A 12,645-nucleotide genomic window follows, 5' to 3' on the forward strand; every position below is an offset into this window, starting at 1 on the left:
TGCCAGCTCCACACCCCCCACCGTCTCCTCCCTACCTGGTCCGTCCTGGGTGTTGAAATCCGCTGTTGCTTCTCCACTTCTCCCTGTTTCTAGCTGGTGGGGTTTGGCACAAACGCCTGCCCTGACTGCTTCATCTGGATCTCGGGCCCTCACGTGTGTCCTGGGGACGTCTGCGTGCTGTTGGGGCTGCGTACCCCCGCCCCCCCCCAAACATATGCTTGCTGGGCGCACAGGGACCTGCTAGGAAAGCTTGTAATTGGGATGAAGAGCTGCCGTGATGGGAGTTCTTGGGTGTTGGGGGGTCCCTAGGTGATAGGGGCTCTGGGTGAGGAGGAATCCCAGATGATGGGGGCTCTGGGTAAGGAGGAACCCCAGGCGATGGGGGGACCCAGGTGAGGATGCACACTTTGTGATCATGCCGTGGAGAGGAGCATTTGGTTTCCACCTGGAGGGGCCCTTCTAGCTCTGCAGGGAGGGGAGGAGGTCTCTCTTCCCTCCAAGGCCTCTAGACAGAGTTGGCTGGTAAGAGGGAATGGAAGAATGGCCTTGGGGGCCCTTGCCCTTCTGTGGGGGCCCATGGACACATGTCCCTGCCCCTGCCGAGTGGGAGGTACTTCCCCATACCCAGTTCTGGATGAGGGAAGCTTCTGGAAGAGACTGTGACCGTCCCCTGGGTGGCCCATGGGACCCAACCTGCTAGAGAAGATGAAGTGGTTGAATGTGTCCTTCCAACCTCGCTGGGTGGCAGTGCTGTGTCCTGGAGGGGCCAGGGCTCCCTCTGACACCCTCGTCCTCTGCAGAGCTTCTCCCCAGGCCTGGGCAGGAGCGGCCCATCCCTTGCCTGGGACATCGGGCCCTGTGTGCTCGGCAGTGAGGGGACCCCTGTTCGTGTCATCCACAGGGTGCTGTGGGCCCAGAAGCGCCCATGCCTGAGAGCGTCCAGGACCAGGCAGAGCTGGGCCTTAAGGGCCCTTGGACCAGTGTCTGTCTGCAGGGAGCCCCCGGTAGCCACTCGGATCAGCCCGAGGGAAGATTCTGGACGAGACCGTGGCCGTCCCCCGGGTGGCCCATGGACAGCAGCAGGGGCTCCCAGGAGTGGCCAGGCCCTGCCCGCCCACCATGCTGCAGTGTAGACCCGCACAGGAGTTCAGCTTCGGGCCCCGGGCCTTGAAGGACGCTCTGGTCTCCACTGACGCAGCCCTGCAGCAGCTGTATGTGTCCGCCTTCTCCCCTGCCGAGCGGCTCTTCCTGGCCGAGGCCTACAACCCGCAGAGGACGCTCTTCTGCACCCTGCTCATCCGCACGGGCTTCGACTGGCTCCTGAGCCGACCCGAGGCTCCCGAGGACTTCCAGACCTTCCACGCCTCCCTGCAGCACCGGAAGCCCCGCCTGGCTCGGAAGCACATCTACCTACAGCCGATAGGTACGGGACGCCTGCAGCCATCGGCACGCTCCTGGGGGACCAGCTTATATATAGCACAAGTGGGGGATGTCTGTGCATAGCCCCCAGGCAGGACTGAAATGAGGGAAGAGGGTCCTGGGTGTATGGGATGCCAGGGTGGAGGCAGGGAGGTCCTGGCTGGGCCAAGGCTTCCTTCCTCCCACCCCATCCTGACACGATGCTCAGACGGCCCAGGCTCTGGGACTGGTCCACATGCAGGTGTGGCCTCATCCAGATGTGCACGGTCCTGGCTACGCCTGTTGAAACTAGAGCCATCCCAGGCACTGTGCTGCGGGCTGTATAAAGATCACGCCGGGTGTGGTGGTGCACACCTGTAATCCCAGCTATTCAGGAGGCTGAGGCAGGAGAATCGCTTGAACCTGGGAGACAGAGGTTGCAGTGAGCTGAGATCATGCCACTGCATTCCAGCCTGGGTGACGGAGTGAGACTGTCTCAAAAAAAAAAAGACCACTTTCTCTTTGGGGTGCTGAAATGAGGATCAGCCCATTTCGCCGGCAAGGAGATGGAAGCAGGGAGAGGTCCCTTGACCTGTGTGACTGGCAGAGCTGGTCACTGGTAGGGACGGGACTGGAACGCAGTTCTATTTGACCCTGGGGCTGGGGTGCTCATCCTGATGCTATAGTGGGAGGGGCTGGGCTGAGCAGGGTGGGGGCTTGAGGGCCCAGAGTGGTCACTGTCCTCAGAGCTCTGTGTCTGGCAGAGTCTGGGGGACCCAGGGTGAATGGGGGGCCGAGACAACAGGCATCCGTGCTCAGAAGGGAACGGCCCAGGCAGGTGCGGGGAGCGCGAGGGGCAGGGCCAGCTCTGTGCCTCTCACATGCCAAGAGCAGCCTGGCAGAGACAGCACACGGGACGGGGGCCCTTGGGCTCGGAGAGGAGGAAAGGGCTGGTGTCCGCTTCTGACCAGCGCACCACGCCTTTCGGCATCTCGACAGCAAGCCAGAACAGGGCTGACCTCGCCTGGCCTTGCCCCACGCAGGCTTGTCACCAGCCCTGGTGGTCCACGCAGCCCCTTTCCTGCCCCTCAGGACCCAAATCCTGCGGGTGTCCGTTGGTCTCAGCATCCACCACCCCACAGCAGCCAATCCAACAGCTTGGGAGCTACCCGCTTCCCTCCACCTCCCTGCTAATGGCTCAGAGCCTGGTGTCCCAAGCTCTGACGCACTGACACATGGGCATGTTGTTGAAACACAGGGGCCGGGTCAGGAGGTGGGGACTGGGCCAGGCTCTGCATTTCCCTCCTTTCCTGGGTGAGGCTGATGCTGCTGGCCTGGAGTCCTGGCAGCTGATTTCTCACTGGTCTCCTGGCCTCTACCCTTGGTCCTTGTCCATCTGTCCTCCTGACCTGTGATCTGGTGTGTGCATCCCTTCAGGGGCTGCCCTGGGAGCTCCCTGCTGCCTCTCCAGCCTCGACCTGCACCCTTGTGTGCTACTCTGCCCCAGCCAGGCTGGCATTTTGCAGCCATGCAGCCTGGCTCTGTGTCCTGCTGTCTGCCCCAGCCAGGCTGGCATTTTGCAGCCATGCAGCCTGGCTCTGTGTCCTGCTGTCTGCCCCAGTCAGGCTGGCATTTTGCAGCGAGGTGGCTCGGCTCTGTGTGCTGCCTGCTCAGCTGCAGTGCCTGGCGCTAACCCTAGAAGTCCCTGTCCCTGGTGAGTCCCTGCCTGCTCTCTCCCTGAGCTCATATGCGATTGTCACTGCTGTCCTTTCATCTGTGCATGAATCTTTCCTCTGTGTCCCTCGGTGTTTGCCCTTTTGAAAAAGTCATGCTTTCCATCCCTTTTCTAAGCCTGACGCTCTGCTTGCTGTCAGGGTAGGTCCACATTGGCCTTGTTCACCCAGCAGGCCGGTGTCTGCGAGTGATTCCCGGGGAGAGGGTCCCAGGCGGGCAGGGGCGTCGCAGGGCTGACGGTGCTGCTCTCCCACCAGACCTGAGCGAGGAGCCGGTGGGAAGCTCCCTGCTGCACCAGCTGTGCAGCTGCACAGAGGCCTTCTTCCTGGGCCTGCGCGTCAAGTGCCTGCCGTCGGTGGCAGCCGCGTCCATCCGCTGCTCCTCGCGGCCCAGCCGGGACTCTGACAGGCTCCAGCTCCACACAGGTGAGTGAGGACGGCAGCCGCCGCTCAGGCCAAGGCAGGCCCCTTCTGGAAGGAAGAGGTGGGAGGAAGGCGCCCAGGAGAGGAAGGGAACCTTTTCTTCCTTTTTGCTGGGAAACATCCATTTCCCAGGTGTTTGGGAAGCAGGACCAAGCCGGAGAGCTCCTTCTTCCCACCCAGGAGTGTCTGGGGACCTGACCATACAGCCAGTGCCCACAGGAAAACGCCAGAGCATGCAGAGCAGGAGAAGCGAGCCCTTCTTTTTTTGTTATTTTTTTGAGACGGAGTCTTGCTCTGTCACCCAGGCTGGAGTGCCGTGGCGCGATCTCGGCTCACTGCAACCTCCCGGTTGAGGCAAGCGATTCTCCTGCCTCAGCCTTCTGAGTAGCTGGGACTAAAAGCGCCCACCACACCCGGCTAATTTTTGTATTTTTAGTTGAGACAGGGTCTCACTGTGTTGGCCAGGCTGGTCTTGAACTCCTGACCTCAAGTGATCTGCCTGCCTCAGCCTCCCAAAGTGCTGGGATGACAGGCGTGAGTCACCGTCACTGGCTTGAAATGAGCCCTTCTAAGGCCACTCAGCATGGCTCCAACCTTCCGTCTTTGCATAGTACTTTACACGTGCCTAGATCTCAACCCTCAAGCCCTTGCCCCTTCCCTGAGGGTCGCTGGTGACTGGAGAGTGTGAGGCAGGGTTGAGAGGCAGAGGTGAAGTGAGGGCTCTGTTGGTGGATAGGAAACCTAGACTCAAGTTTAGGGAGGGCCTCAAAGGGGCTGGAATGAGCGGATGGACAGCTTTCATCAGTTCTGGGATACTCTCAGCCATTGCTGCTTTTGTCAGTTATCACCTCTGCCCCATTCTCTTCTCTCCTATGACTCCAACTGAATGTATATTAATCCATCTTACTCTCTTCTCTATAATATCTTTTATGATCATTCATGCTTTAGTCTGAATTTATTCTCATCCTTTGGCTAAGGCTTACTCTCTCTGGAGTCACATCCAAGGTACTTTTTTTTTCTGAGACAGAATCTTGCTCTGTCGCCCAGGCTGGAGTGCAGTGGTGCAATCTCGGCTCATGGCAAGCTCTGCCTCCCGGGTTCACACCATTCTCCTGCCTCAGCCTCCCGCGTAGCTGGGACTACAGGCGGCTGCCACCATGCCCAGCTAATTTTTTTGTATTTTTAGTAGAGACGGGATTTCACCGTGTTAGCCAGGATGGTCTGGATCTCCTGACCGCATGATCTGCCTGCATTGGCCTCCCAAAGTGCTGGGATTATAGGCGTGAGCCACTGTGCCTGGCCTCATCTAAGGTACTCTTAAACCCATATATTGAGGCTGGACATGGTGGCTCACACATGTAATCCCAGTACTTTGAGAGGCTGAGGTGGGAGGATAGCTTGACAGCAGGTGTTCAAGACCAGCCTGGGCAACTAGGCCAGACCCTGTCTGTGCAAAAAATATAAAAATAGCTGGCAGTGGTGGCACACATCTATAGTCTCAGCTACTTGGGAGGCTGAGAGTTTGAAACTGCAGTGAGCTGTGATCGTGCTACTGTATTCCCCTCTATCCTGGGTGACAGAACAAGACCCGATCATTAAAAAAAAATCACAACCCCCATATATTGTGTTCCTAATTTCAGTTGTCATGTTTGTGAGTTCTACAGTTTCCAGTGGATTCTTTTTGAAATTAGCAGTGTCACGCTTTTTTTTTTTTTTTTTTTTTTTTTTAAGACGGAGTCTTGCTGTGTCACCCAGGCTGGAGTGCAGTGGCATGATCTTGGCTCACTGCAAGCTCCGCCTCCTGGGTTCATGCCATTCTCCTGCGTCAGCCTCCCGAGTAGCTGGGCCTACAGGCGCCCAGTACTGTGCCTGGCTATTTTTTTGCATATTTAGTAGAGACGGGGTTTCACCGTGTTAGCCAGGATGATCTCGATCTCCTGACCTGGTGATCTGCCTGCCTCGGTCTCCCAAAGTGCTGGGATTACAGGTGTGAGCCACTGCGCCCGGCCCAGTGTCACATTTTTATAGGTCTCAGTTGCCTATGACACTTCTTTAAGTTCAGCATTGATGTCCATGAACATAGTTGCTTGACCGTCTGTCCGATGATTACACTATCTGGAGTGCCCATGTGCCTGTATTTGTTATTTCTGCTAATTTTGTCTCAGTTATCCTGCTTCATTGTGCCTTGTTATTTTTGATTGTTAGTTACGCATCTTATTGGAAAAATTAGTTTAACTTTGAGAATTTTTGGCCTGGGCCGATGTTTTTCACCATAGAGGATTTTCTTTTCCTTCTGCCAGGCACCAAAGGGCTGACTGTGGGACAAAGACATGAAGCTTTTCTGGGTCATTCTGATGGTCCCCAGGGCTCCGCATCCCTCCCAGGGCAGGAAGCATGTCAGGGTCATCCTGCCCACTCCCCCACCCCAGAAACAGTCCAGCTTCATCTGTTTGAGCTCCAGTCCTCCCCGTTTTTCTCATTAGGTCTCTGCCTTGGTTATTGAGGTATAATTTAGATAGTAAAATTCATCCTTTTTAGTGTAAGGTTCTGAGTCTTGACACACGCATACATCACGTGGCCATCACCATAATCATATAGAGGGCGGCTCTCTACCCCTCTACCGGCCACCAAACCTTTCTCCTTAATCCACTCCTCCCCATCGTGGGTGTTGGAAGCAGCTGTTCTTTATCATTCACTCTGCCTGTCTGGCCATCTTTTGGCGGGAGGGTTGTCTAAATTCCCTAGGGTACTGTTACAGGGAGCAGCCACTGTTGAGATTTGGGGGTTGATAGGGGTCCCCTGGCTGGGGTGGGGTGCCATCCCCTGGGTGGCATGTTTCTTTGTCCTGGCCTGCTTTCTGGGTACAGCCTACACTCCACAGGCTTCCCCAGCCCCTGAGGTCCTACAGTGGGGTCTGGGGACAATGTGGCCTGCCTTGGCCCTGGCCCTAAAACACAGCCGGGGACCCCGTGCCTCTCAGGCTTGGCCTCTGCAGCCTCAGCTCTCCTCACCTCCCCCACGCCGTACACGGTGCGTCTCACCTGTTATGGCCTCTGACCTGTTGGTGCCAGGCCTGTGGCAGCTCAGAGACAGCACCAAGTCCCACAAGGGTCACTCCAGGGCTTTCCACCCCCTCTGCTTAGTGGACAAACTGCTGTTTTCCCCAGCCCCACACTTCAGAAGGTGCACGGGGGAGCCCTCGGGAAAAGGACATGCACTCGGGAAGGTTCAAAAGCAGGTGGAACTCAGAGGGTATGCCAGGTTGCATTTGTGGGGTCAGCTCAGCCTGGTTTTTAATTTTTTTTTAGAGATGGGGTCTTGCTTTGTGACCCAGGCTCAAGCGCAGTGGTGCGATCATAGCTCCCTGCAGCCTTGAACTCCTGGGCTCCTCTGCCTCAGCCTCCCAAGTAGCTGGGACCGCAGACACGTGCCATCACACCTGGCTAATTATTTTGATTGTTGTAGAGATGGGGTCCTGCCATCTTGCCCAGAGAGTAGCATGCTTTGGATCACTGTACTGGTTTCCTGGGACTGCCGTAACAAAGTACCACAAACTGAGTGGCTTAGGGACATTTCTTGTCTCACATCGCTGGAGCCTGCAGTTCTTAACCAAGGTTTTGGCAGGGCCACGTGGTCTCAGAAGGCTCCGTGGAGGGTGCTTCCTGGCTGCCTCCAGCTTCTGGAAGTTGCTGGCAATGCCCAGCCCTCTGTGGCTTCCAGATGCACAACTCCAACCTCAGCCTTTGACTTCCCGTGAGCTTTACGCCATGTGCCTCTGCGTCTCTTCTAAGACTCCAGTCACTGGGTCTCCTTCATGACCTCATCTTAACTGGATTACATCTGCACAGATCCTGTTTCCAAACAATGGCAGGTTCCGGGGGTTAGGACTTCCACCTGTCTTTTTGGGGGACATAGCCTGATCCACAACAATCATCACTGTCAATCATCATCACCTCATTAGCATCATTGTCAATCAATTACCCAGCTGCTCAGGAGGCCGAGGCAGGAAGATTGCTTGAGCCCAGGAGGTGGAGACTGCAGCGTGAGCTGTGATTGTACTCCAGCCTGGGTGACAGAATGGGATGTTATCTCAAAAACAAACACAGGGCCAGCTGTGGTGGGTCATGCCTGTAATCCCAGCACTTTGGGAGACCGAGGCAGACGGATCACGAGGGTAGGAGTTTGAGACCAGCTTGACTAACATGGTGAAATCTCCTTTCTACTAAAAATACAAAAATTAGCTGGGTGTGATGGCACGTGCCTGTAATCCCTGCTACTCAGGAAGCTGAGGCAGGAGAATGGCTTGAACCTGGGAGGCGGAGGTTACAGTGAACTGAGATAGATAGCGCCACTACACTGCAGCCTGGGCAACAAAGCAACACTCCATCTCAAAAAAAAAAAACAAAAAAACACACACACACAGAACAACCTCCTTGTCAATCTGTTCCTTTTAATGGTAGAACTCCTTGGAAAACACTTCTCCGGTGTGCCTCTGTGCCGCAACCCCTCTTCTCTACACTAACTCTGAGACCCTCTCCGGGTTTCCTGGGCCCGTGGTGGCTGCTCTGCCCCCTTCCCTCCCTGGGCTTCTGGTTTCCCGGCTTTGATGCCATCGTGCCCAGGTTCAGCCCCTGGGCCTCTCCTGTATCTGTCCACACTCATGCTCCGGGGAACCATGCTAACAAGTTACACAACTTGCTAGCTTGGATGACCCACTGTGATCTCACAGTGCTGTGGGTCAGGAGCGCCCCCACTGCCCAGGCTAAAGTCAAGGGTTGGCTCCAGGAAACTCCAGGGAGAATCCATTTCCTGCCCTTTCCAGCTTCTAGAGGCACCCGTATCCTTGGCTAATGGTCCTTCCTCCGAGCCAGCCCTGCAGTGCCCTCAGGCCTCACGTTCTCACCCAGACCCCCTGCTGCCTCTAACGAGGGCTTTTTTTTTTTTTTTTTTTTTTTGAGATGGAGTCTGGCTCTGTTGCCCAGGCTAGAGGGCAGTGGCGTGATGTCAGCTCATTGCCACCTCTACCTCCTGGGTTCAAGCAATTCTCCCGTCTCAGACTCCTGAGTAGTTGGGATTACAGGCACGCACCACCAGGCCCGGCTCATTTTGTATTTTTAGTAGAGATGGGGTTTTGTCATGTTGGCCAGGCTGGTCTCGAACTCCTGACCTCAGGTGATCTGCCCATCTTGGCCTCCCGAGTTGCTGGCATCACAGGTGTGAGCCACTGTGCCCGGCCTTACCGAGGGTTCTTGTGATGGCATCAGGCTCAGCTGGCTGCTGCAGAAAAACGCCTCCATCCCAAGATCTTTAATCATCTGCAGCCCCTTTGGCTGTGGGGACTCACAGGTCCCAGGGCTGAGACGTGGACTCTCTGGGGCTGTCGCTCAGCTGCTGAGGTGGCTTCTCCTTCCTGGGGCTGCAAGCGCCAGTCTTGTTGGCCCGGCTGCCTCTCCAGCGTCCCCACTGGGCTGTCCATGGCCTTTGACTTACCATGTCCTGATCTCCAAATGGCCCTGGCTGTCACTCCACATCATGCAGTACTGTGTGCCCTCAGGTCACACCAAACGCTGGTGGCCCACACCTGACTTGGGAAGGGGCAGGGCCCAGGCAGAGGAAGAGGATGACGGGGTGCCAGCCTGAGCCTGGAAGATGGGGGTCCCCGGCTGCCTCCTGACCCCATCCTCTGGCCCTCTCCCCGCAGACGGCATCCTGTCCTTCTTGAAGAACAACAAGCCAGGGGACGCGCTGTGTGTGCTGGGCCTCACACTGTCTGACCTGTACCCCCATGAGGCCTGGAGCTTCACCTTCAGCAAGTTCCTTCCAGGGCACGGTGAGCCGGGGCCCCAGCAGCTGTGCGTGGGGGGTAGCCTGGCATGGGGCTGTGGCCTCCGTGGCTGCAGGGCACCCTCTTTGCTTTTGCTTCAAGCACCCTCCTGGTGGAAGTCAACACCTGTGCATGGGAATAGATGGCCCCTTCCAGCTCCTCCTGAGGAATGGCATAGGGGCTGTTCCTCAGCTGTGGCGTCTGCCCCAGGGCCCAACTTCATGTGGGCAGGACAGGGCCTCCCAGGACTGGTATGTCTTTGGGCCATGGCCAGCTTGCATGAGAGCATGAGGTGGGTTTGACGGTGGGCCCCCCAGAGCCAAGGCTGACCCCTGAGAGTGCCCTTCTCTCCATCTCTCTCCAGAAGTGGGCGTCTGCAGCTTCGCCCGGTTCTCAGGGGAATTCCCGAAGTCGGGGCCCAGCGCCCCTGATCTGGCCCTGGTAGAGGCAGCAGCAGACGGCCCCGAGGCCCCCCTGCAGGACAGGGGCTGGGCCCTGTGCTTCAGTGCCCTGGGGATGGTTCAGTGCTGCAAGGTGGGTGGGGGCTCTGGGGCTGGTAAGAGGGGACAGGAGGGTGCTGTCTGAGCCCTTGGTGCCTCGGTCTGTTACACTGCCCCATCCTCACAGTGAAGTGGATGGACCCCTAACTCTATGGAATGAGGAAAGCAAGGCTACACAGCTATGAAGCAGCAGGGGAGGGATTAGAGCCCCAAGCCCCTATCCTGTGTGGCCTCCCACCCTGACTCACCTTTCCCCTGGGGCCCTGAAAGTGGCCTGTGCCGCCTGGGGCAGGGGGAGGGCGCCTGGACCACCTCCCGGCCATCTGGCCTCACCCAGGTCCTCATTTTGGTCCTGCTGGGGCTGCCTGGGGATCTGCCGGATGCAGGGGCAAGGCAGTGAGGCAAGGTGCTTGGTGGCCTTCCCCCCAGGTCACGTGCCACGAGCTCTGCCACCTTCTGGGCCTGGGGAACTGCCGCTGGCTCCGCTGCCTCATGCAGGGTGCGCTCAGCCTGGACGAGGCCCTGCGGCGGCCCCTGGACCTCTGTCCCATCTGCCTGAGGAAGCTGCAGCATGTCCTGGGTTTCAGGCTCATCGAGAGGTACCAGGTGAGTGGCTGAGTTGCGCTGCCCGGCTGCTGGGACCTGCGCTCCGGAGGCCCGCGAGCGCCGCCTGGAGGCTACGCAGGGCATGGGGACCGCACACAGGCTTTGTCAACTGCCGGGTTCCAGGCAGTGCAGAGCCCTGGGACCTGCGCTGGGGTTGAGCTCCATCCGGATCTCACTGGCAGTAGATCGAGTCCTGCCAGGGCCCGCGTGTGGTGGCTGTGACTGGGAGGTTGCAGCGGGGTCGAGTGGGGACGAGGGCTTTTCTCCCTCTGTCAGGAAGAGCTGGCATTGGAGCCCAGCCGGCGGGTGGCACGGTCTTCCCAGGGTAACTTTCTCTTTGCTTTCCCGTCACCCACACTTGGGTCACTGCTGCTCAGAGGAGGCACAGGCCCCTTGCGAGGAGGTGGGAGCTGACACAACAAGGCTTGTTGGAGGTGGCCTCCATTCCTAACTCCCTCTGTCGCCTGGGTGGGGTTGCCGAGCAAAGGGCTCGTCCGTATTCATGGACATTTGTTTGCAAGCTCAAAAGCTTTACTCTGAGTTCTGAGTGCAAAGGCAGGTGGTGGTAATTTTTCTTCAAACCCAGCTTTGGACTACAACCAGTTATAAGGTGCTCACTGCGTACAGGCACCAGAGCAGTCAATGAAACCGCGCTGGAAAGCCCCTGCATCCTCCTCCCGCCCGTTGAGGCAAGTGGGGGTGTGGTTCCCGGACCGAGCCTGTCAGAATCCCCTGCAGGGCCTAGCTGGGCCCTCCTTCCTTCTGGGGTAGAGTGAGGAGCTGTATCTTGCAGGGTCCTGGGTGACACTGAACTAGAGGCCGTGGCATTTCTAGCTCACAGTGCTGGAATCTCTCTGCAGGGATCCTCTCTGAAGACTCTGGCAGTCAAGGGAAGGTGAAGGGGGCACAGAGGAAACAGCTTTTCCAAGTGTAAGGAGAAGAGCCTGTGACTTGGGGGGAACCCAGGCGCAGCCATGGCTGAGGGTAGGAGCATCTCCCGAGGGTACAGGTGGCGTGATGGCTGGTCAGCACCTGGTGATGCCTTGTAAAGGTTGCTGCTGCCAGCTGTGCCCCGTCAAGGGGCAGCTCTTAGTACCTTCCTGAGGCTGTGTAACAGGCACAGGGGCAGCTTGGTCTGCAGAAAGGGTTGAGAGCTCTCATTTGATGCCTTCACCTGGGGTCTTGTGCAACCATCTGACATGAACTTTTAGAAAGTGTATGCCCCTCCCTACACGTGCTGACCTGGCATAGCCTGGATCCACCTGGATCTGAGCTGGAGGGTGTAGCTCCTCCTCCTGCCCAGAGCTCTCTCCGTTCCGTGAGCACCATCTCCTGAGGCTGTGGAGGGAAGAGGGCCAGGGCAAAGGCACTCCAGGGTGGCCTGGCCCTCCTGGCTGTTGTAGGGAGGGCAGTGGTGTGGATGTGAGGTCACCTGCTGTCCCAGGGCTTGGGGAGGTGCTGGAGAGCTGACCAAGGGCCTGGCCAGAAAAGGTCACTGCTGTCCACTGACAGCAATCAGTGAAATGCCTCTTGAAGAAAGCCTGACTTGTTGTGGTCTCTGCCACTTCCTGTGGTGTAAACAGTCTCACGATGGCTGATGTGAGCTCCCAATGTGATGTCAGTGAGTGCTGAGTTGGGAACAGATGTGCAGTGGGACCTTGTTAAACTGTGTGTCCCCTGTACAGATGCAGGAGAGGAGACTAACCTTGAGAGCAGAGGTGAGAGTGAAATGGAGAAAACATTTAGGAAGTGAGTTTCAAGTACTGCCTTTGCTTTACATTTTTTTCCCCCTGGTGGTCTCACTATGTTGCCCAGGCTGGTCTTGAACTCCTGGTTTCAAGTGATCCTCCTGCCTCTGCCTCCCTGTGCTGGGATTACAAGCGTGAGCCACCATGCCCACACCTTTGCTTTAAAATTTTAAATTTTATTTAATTATACGCTTTCTGGGTGGGTGCCGTGGCTCACACCTGTAATCCCAGCACTTTGGGAGGCGGAGGTGGGTGGGTCATCTGAGGTCAGGAGTTTGAGACCAGCCTGGCTAACATGGTGAAACCCCGTCTCCACTAAAAAATGTAAAAATTAGCCAGGCATGCTGGCAGGAACCTGTAAAATCCCTGCTACTCAGGAGGCCAACGCAGGAGAATTGCTTGAACCTGGGAGG

General features: G+C 57.3%; 1 protein-coding gene across 12 annotated transcripts in view, besides 8 other annotated features; it reads left to right on the forward strand.

Annotated features, from left to right (window-relative positions):
- The window catches only part of AMZ1 (archaelysin family metallopeptidase 1), an 85,617-nt gene that overhangs the window by 19,811 nt on the left and 53,161 nt on the right, over nt 1-12,645 (forward strand). For 6 of the 12 annotated variants that reach the window (XM_011515151.4, NM_001384742.1, XM_047419926.1 and 3 more), the window contains exons 2-5: nt 902-1,423; nt 3,390-3,557; nt 9,256-9,384; nt 10,308-10,484. In XM_011515151.4, the coding sequence (XP_011513453.1) occupies nt 1,120-1,423; nt 3,390-3,557; nt 9,256-9,384; nt 10,308-10,484 (778 nt within the window). In that variant the 5' untranslated portion in view covers nt 902-1,119. Of the gene's footprint in view, nt 1-901; nt 1,424-3,389; nt 3,558-9,255; nt 9,385-9,742; nt 10,112-10,307; nt 10,485-12,645 lie in introns of those variants that run through there. The other 6 variants (NM_133463.4, NM_001321766.2, NM_001384740.1 and 3 more) reach the window with 3 other exon arrangements.
- Nucleotides 50-129: an enhancer, noted in NCBI's record as "active region_25545". NCBI's record gives its function as "activates an Ori minimal core promoter by ATAC-STARR-seq in GM12878 lymphoblastoid cells {active_cell/tissue: GM12878}" and the evidence as "EXISTENCE:reporter gene assay evidence [ECO:0000049][PMID:35858748]".
- Nucleotides 10,212-10,311: an enhancer, noted in NCBI's record as "active region_25546". NCBI's record gives its function as "activates an Ori minimal core promoter by ATAC-STARR-seq in GM12878 lymphoblastoid cells {active_cell/tissue: GM12878}" and the evidence as "EXISTENCE:reporter gene assay evidence [ECO:0000049][PMID:35858748]".
- Nucleotides 10,212-10,926: a biological region, named in NCBI's record as "H3K27ac-H3K4me1 hESC enhancer GRCh37_chr7:2749197-2749892".
- Nucleotides 10,231-10,926: an enhancer, noted in NCBI's record as "H3K27ac-H3K4me1 hESC enhancer chr7:2749197-2749892 (GRCh37/hg19 assembly coordinates)". NCBI's record gives its function as "activates a minimal SCP1, AML or CMV promoter by ChIP-STARR-seq in naive H9 embryonic stem cells {active_cell/tissue: H9 hESC(naive)}" and the evidence as "EXISTENCE:reporter gene assay evidence [ECO:0000049][PMID:30033119]".
- Nucleotides 10,472-10,631: a silencer, noted in NCBI's record as "silent region_17884". NCBI's record gives its function as "represses an Ori minimal core promoter by ATAC-STARR-seq in GM12878 lymphoblastoid cells {active_cell/tissue: GM12878}" and the evidence as "EXISTENCE:reporter gene assay evidence [ECO:0000049][PMID:35858748]".
- Nucleotides 11,072-11,291: an enhancer, noted in NCBI's record as "active region_25547". NCBI's record gives its function as "activates an Ori minimal core promoter by ATAC-STARR-seq in GM12878 lymphoblastoid cells {active_cell/tissue: GM12878}" and the evidence as "EXISTENCE:reporter gene assay evidence [ECO:0000049][PMID:35858748]".
- Nucleotides 11,302-11,351: an enhancer, noted in NCBI's record as "active region_25548". NCBI's record gives its function as "activates an Ori minimal core promoter by ATAC-STARR-seq in GM12878 lymphoblastoid cells {active_cell/tissue: GM12878}" and the evidence as "EXISTENCE:reporter gene assay evidence [ECO:0000049][PMID:35858748]".
- Nucleotides 11,992-12,151: an enhancer, noted in NCBI's record as "active region_25549". NCBI's record gives its function as "activates an Ori minimal core promoter by ATAC-STARR-seq in GM12878 lymphoblastoid cells {active_cell/tissue: GM12878}" and the evidence as "EXISTENCE:reporter gene assay evidence [ECO:0000049][PMID:35858748]".

Source organism: Homo sapiens, chromosome 7 (assembly GCF_000001405.40).
Source record: "Homo sapiens chromosome 7, GRCh38.p14 Primary Assembly".
Classification (NCBI taxonomy): Eukaryota; Metazoa; Chordata; class Mammalia; order Primates; family Hominidae; genus Homo; species Homo sapiens.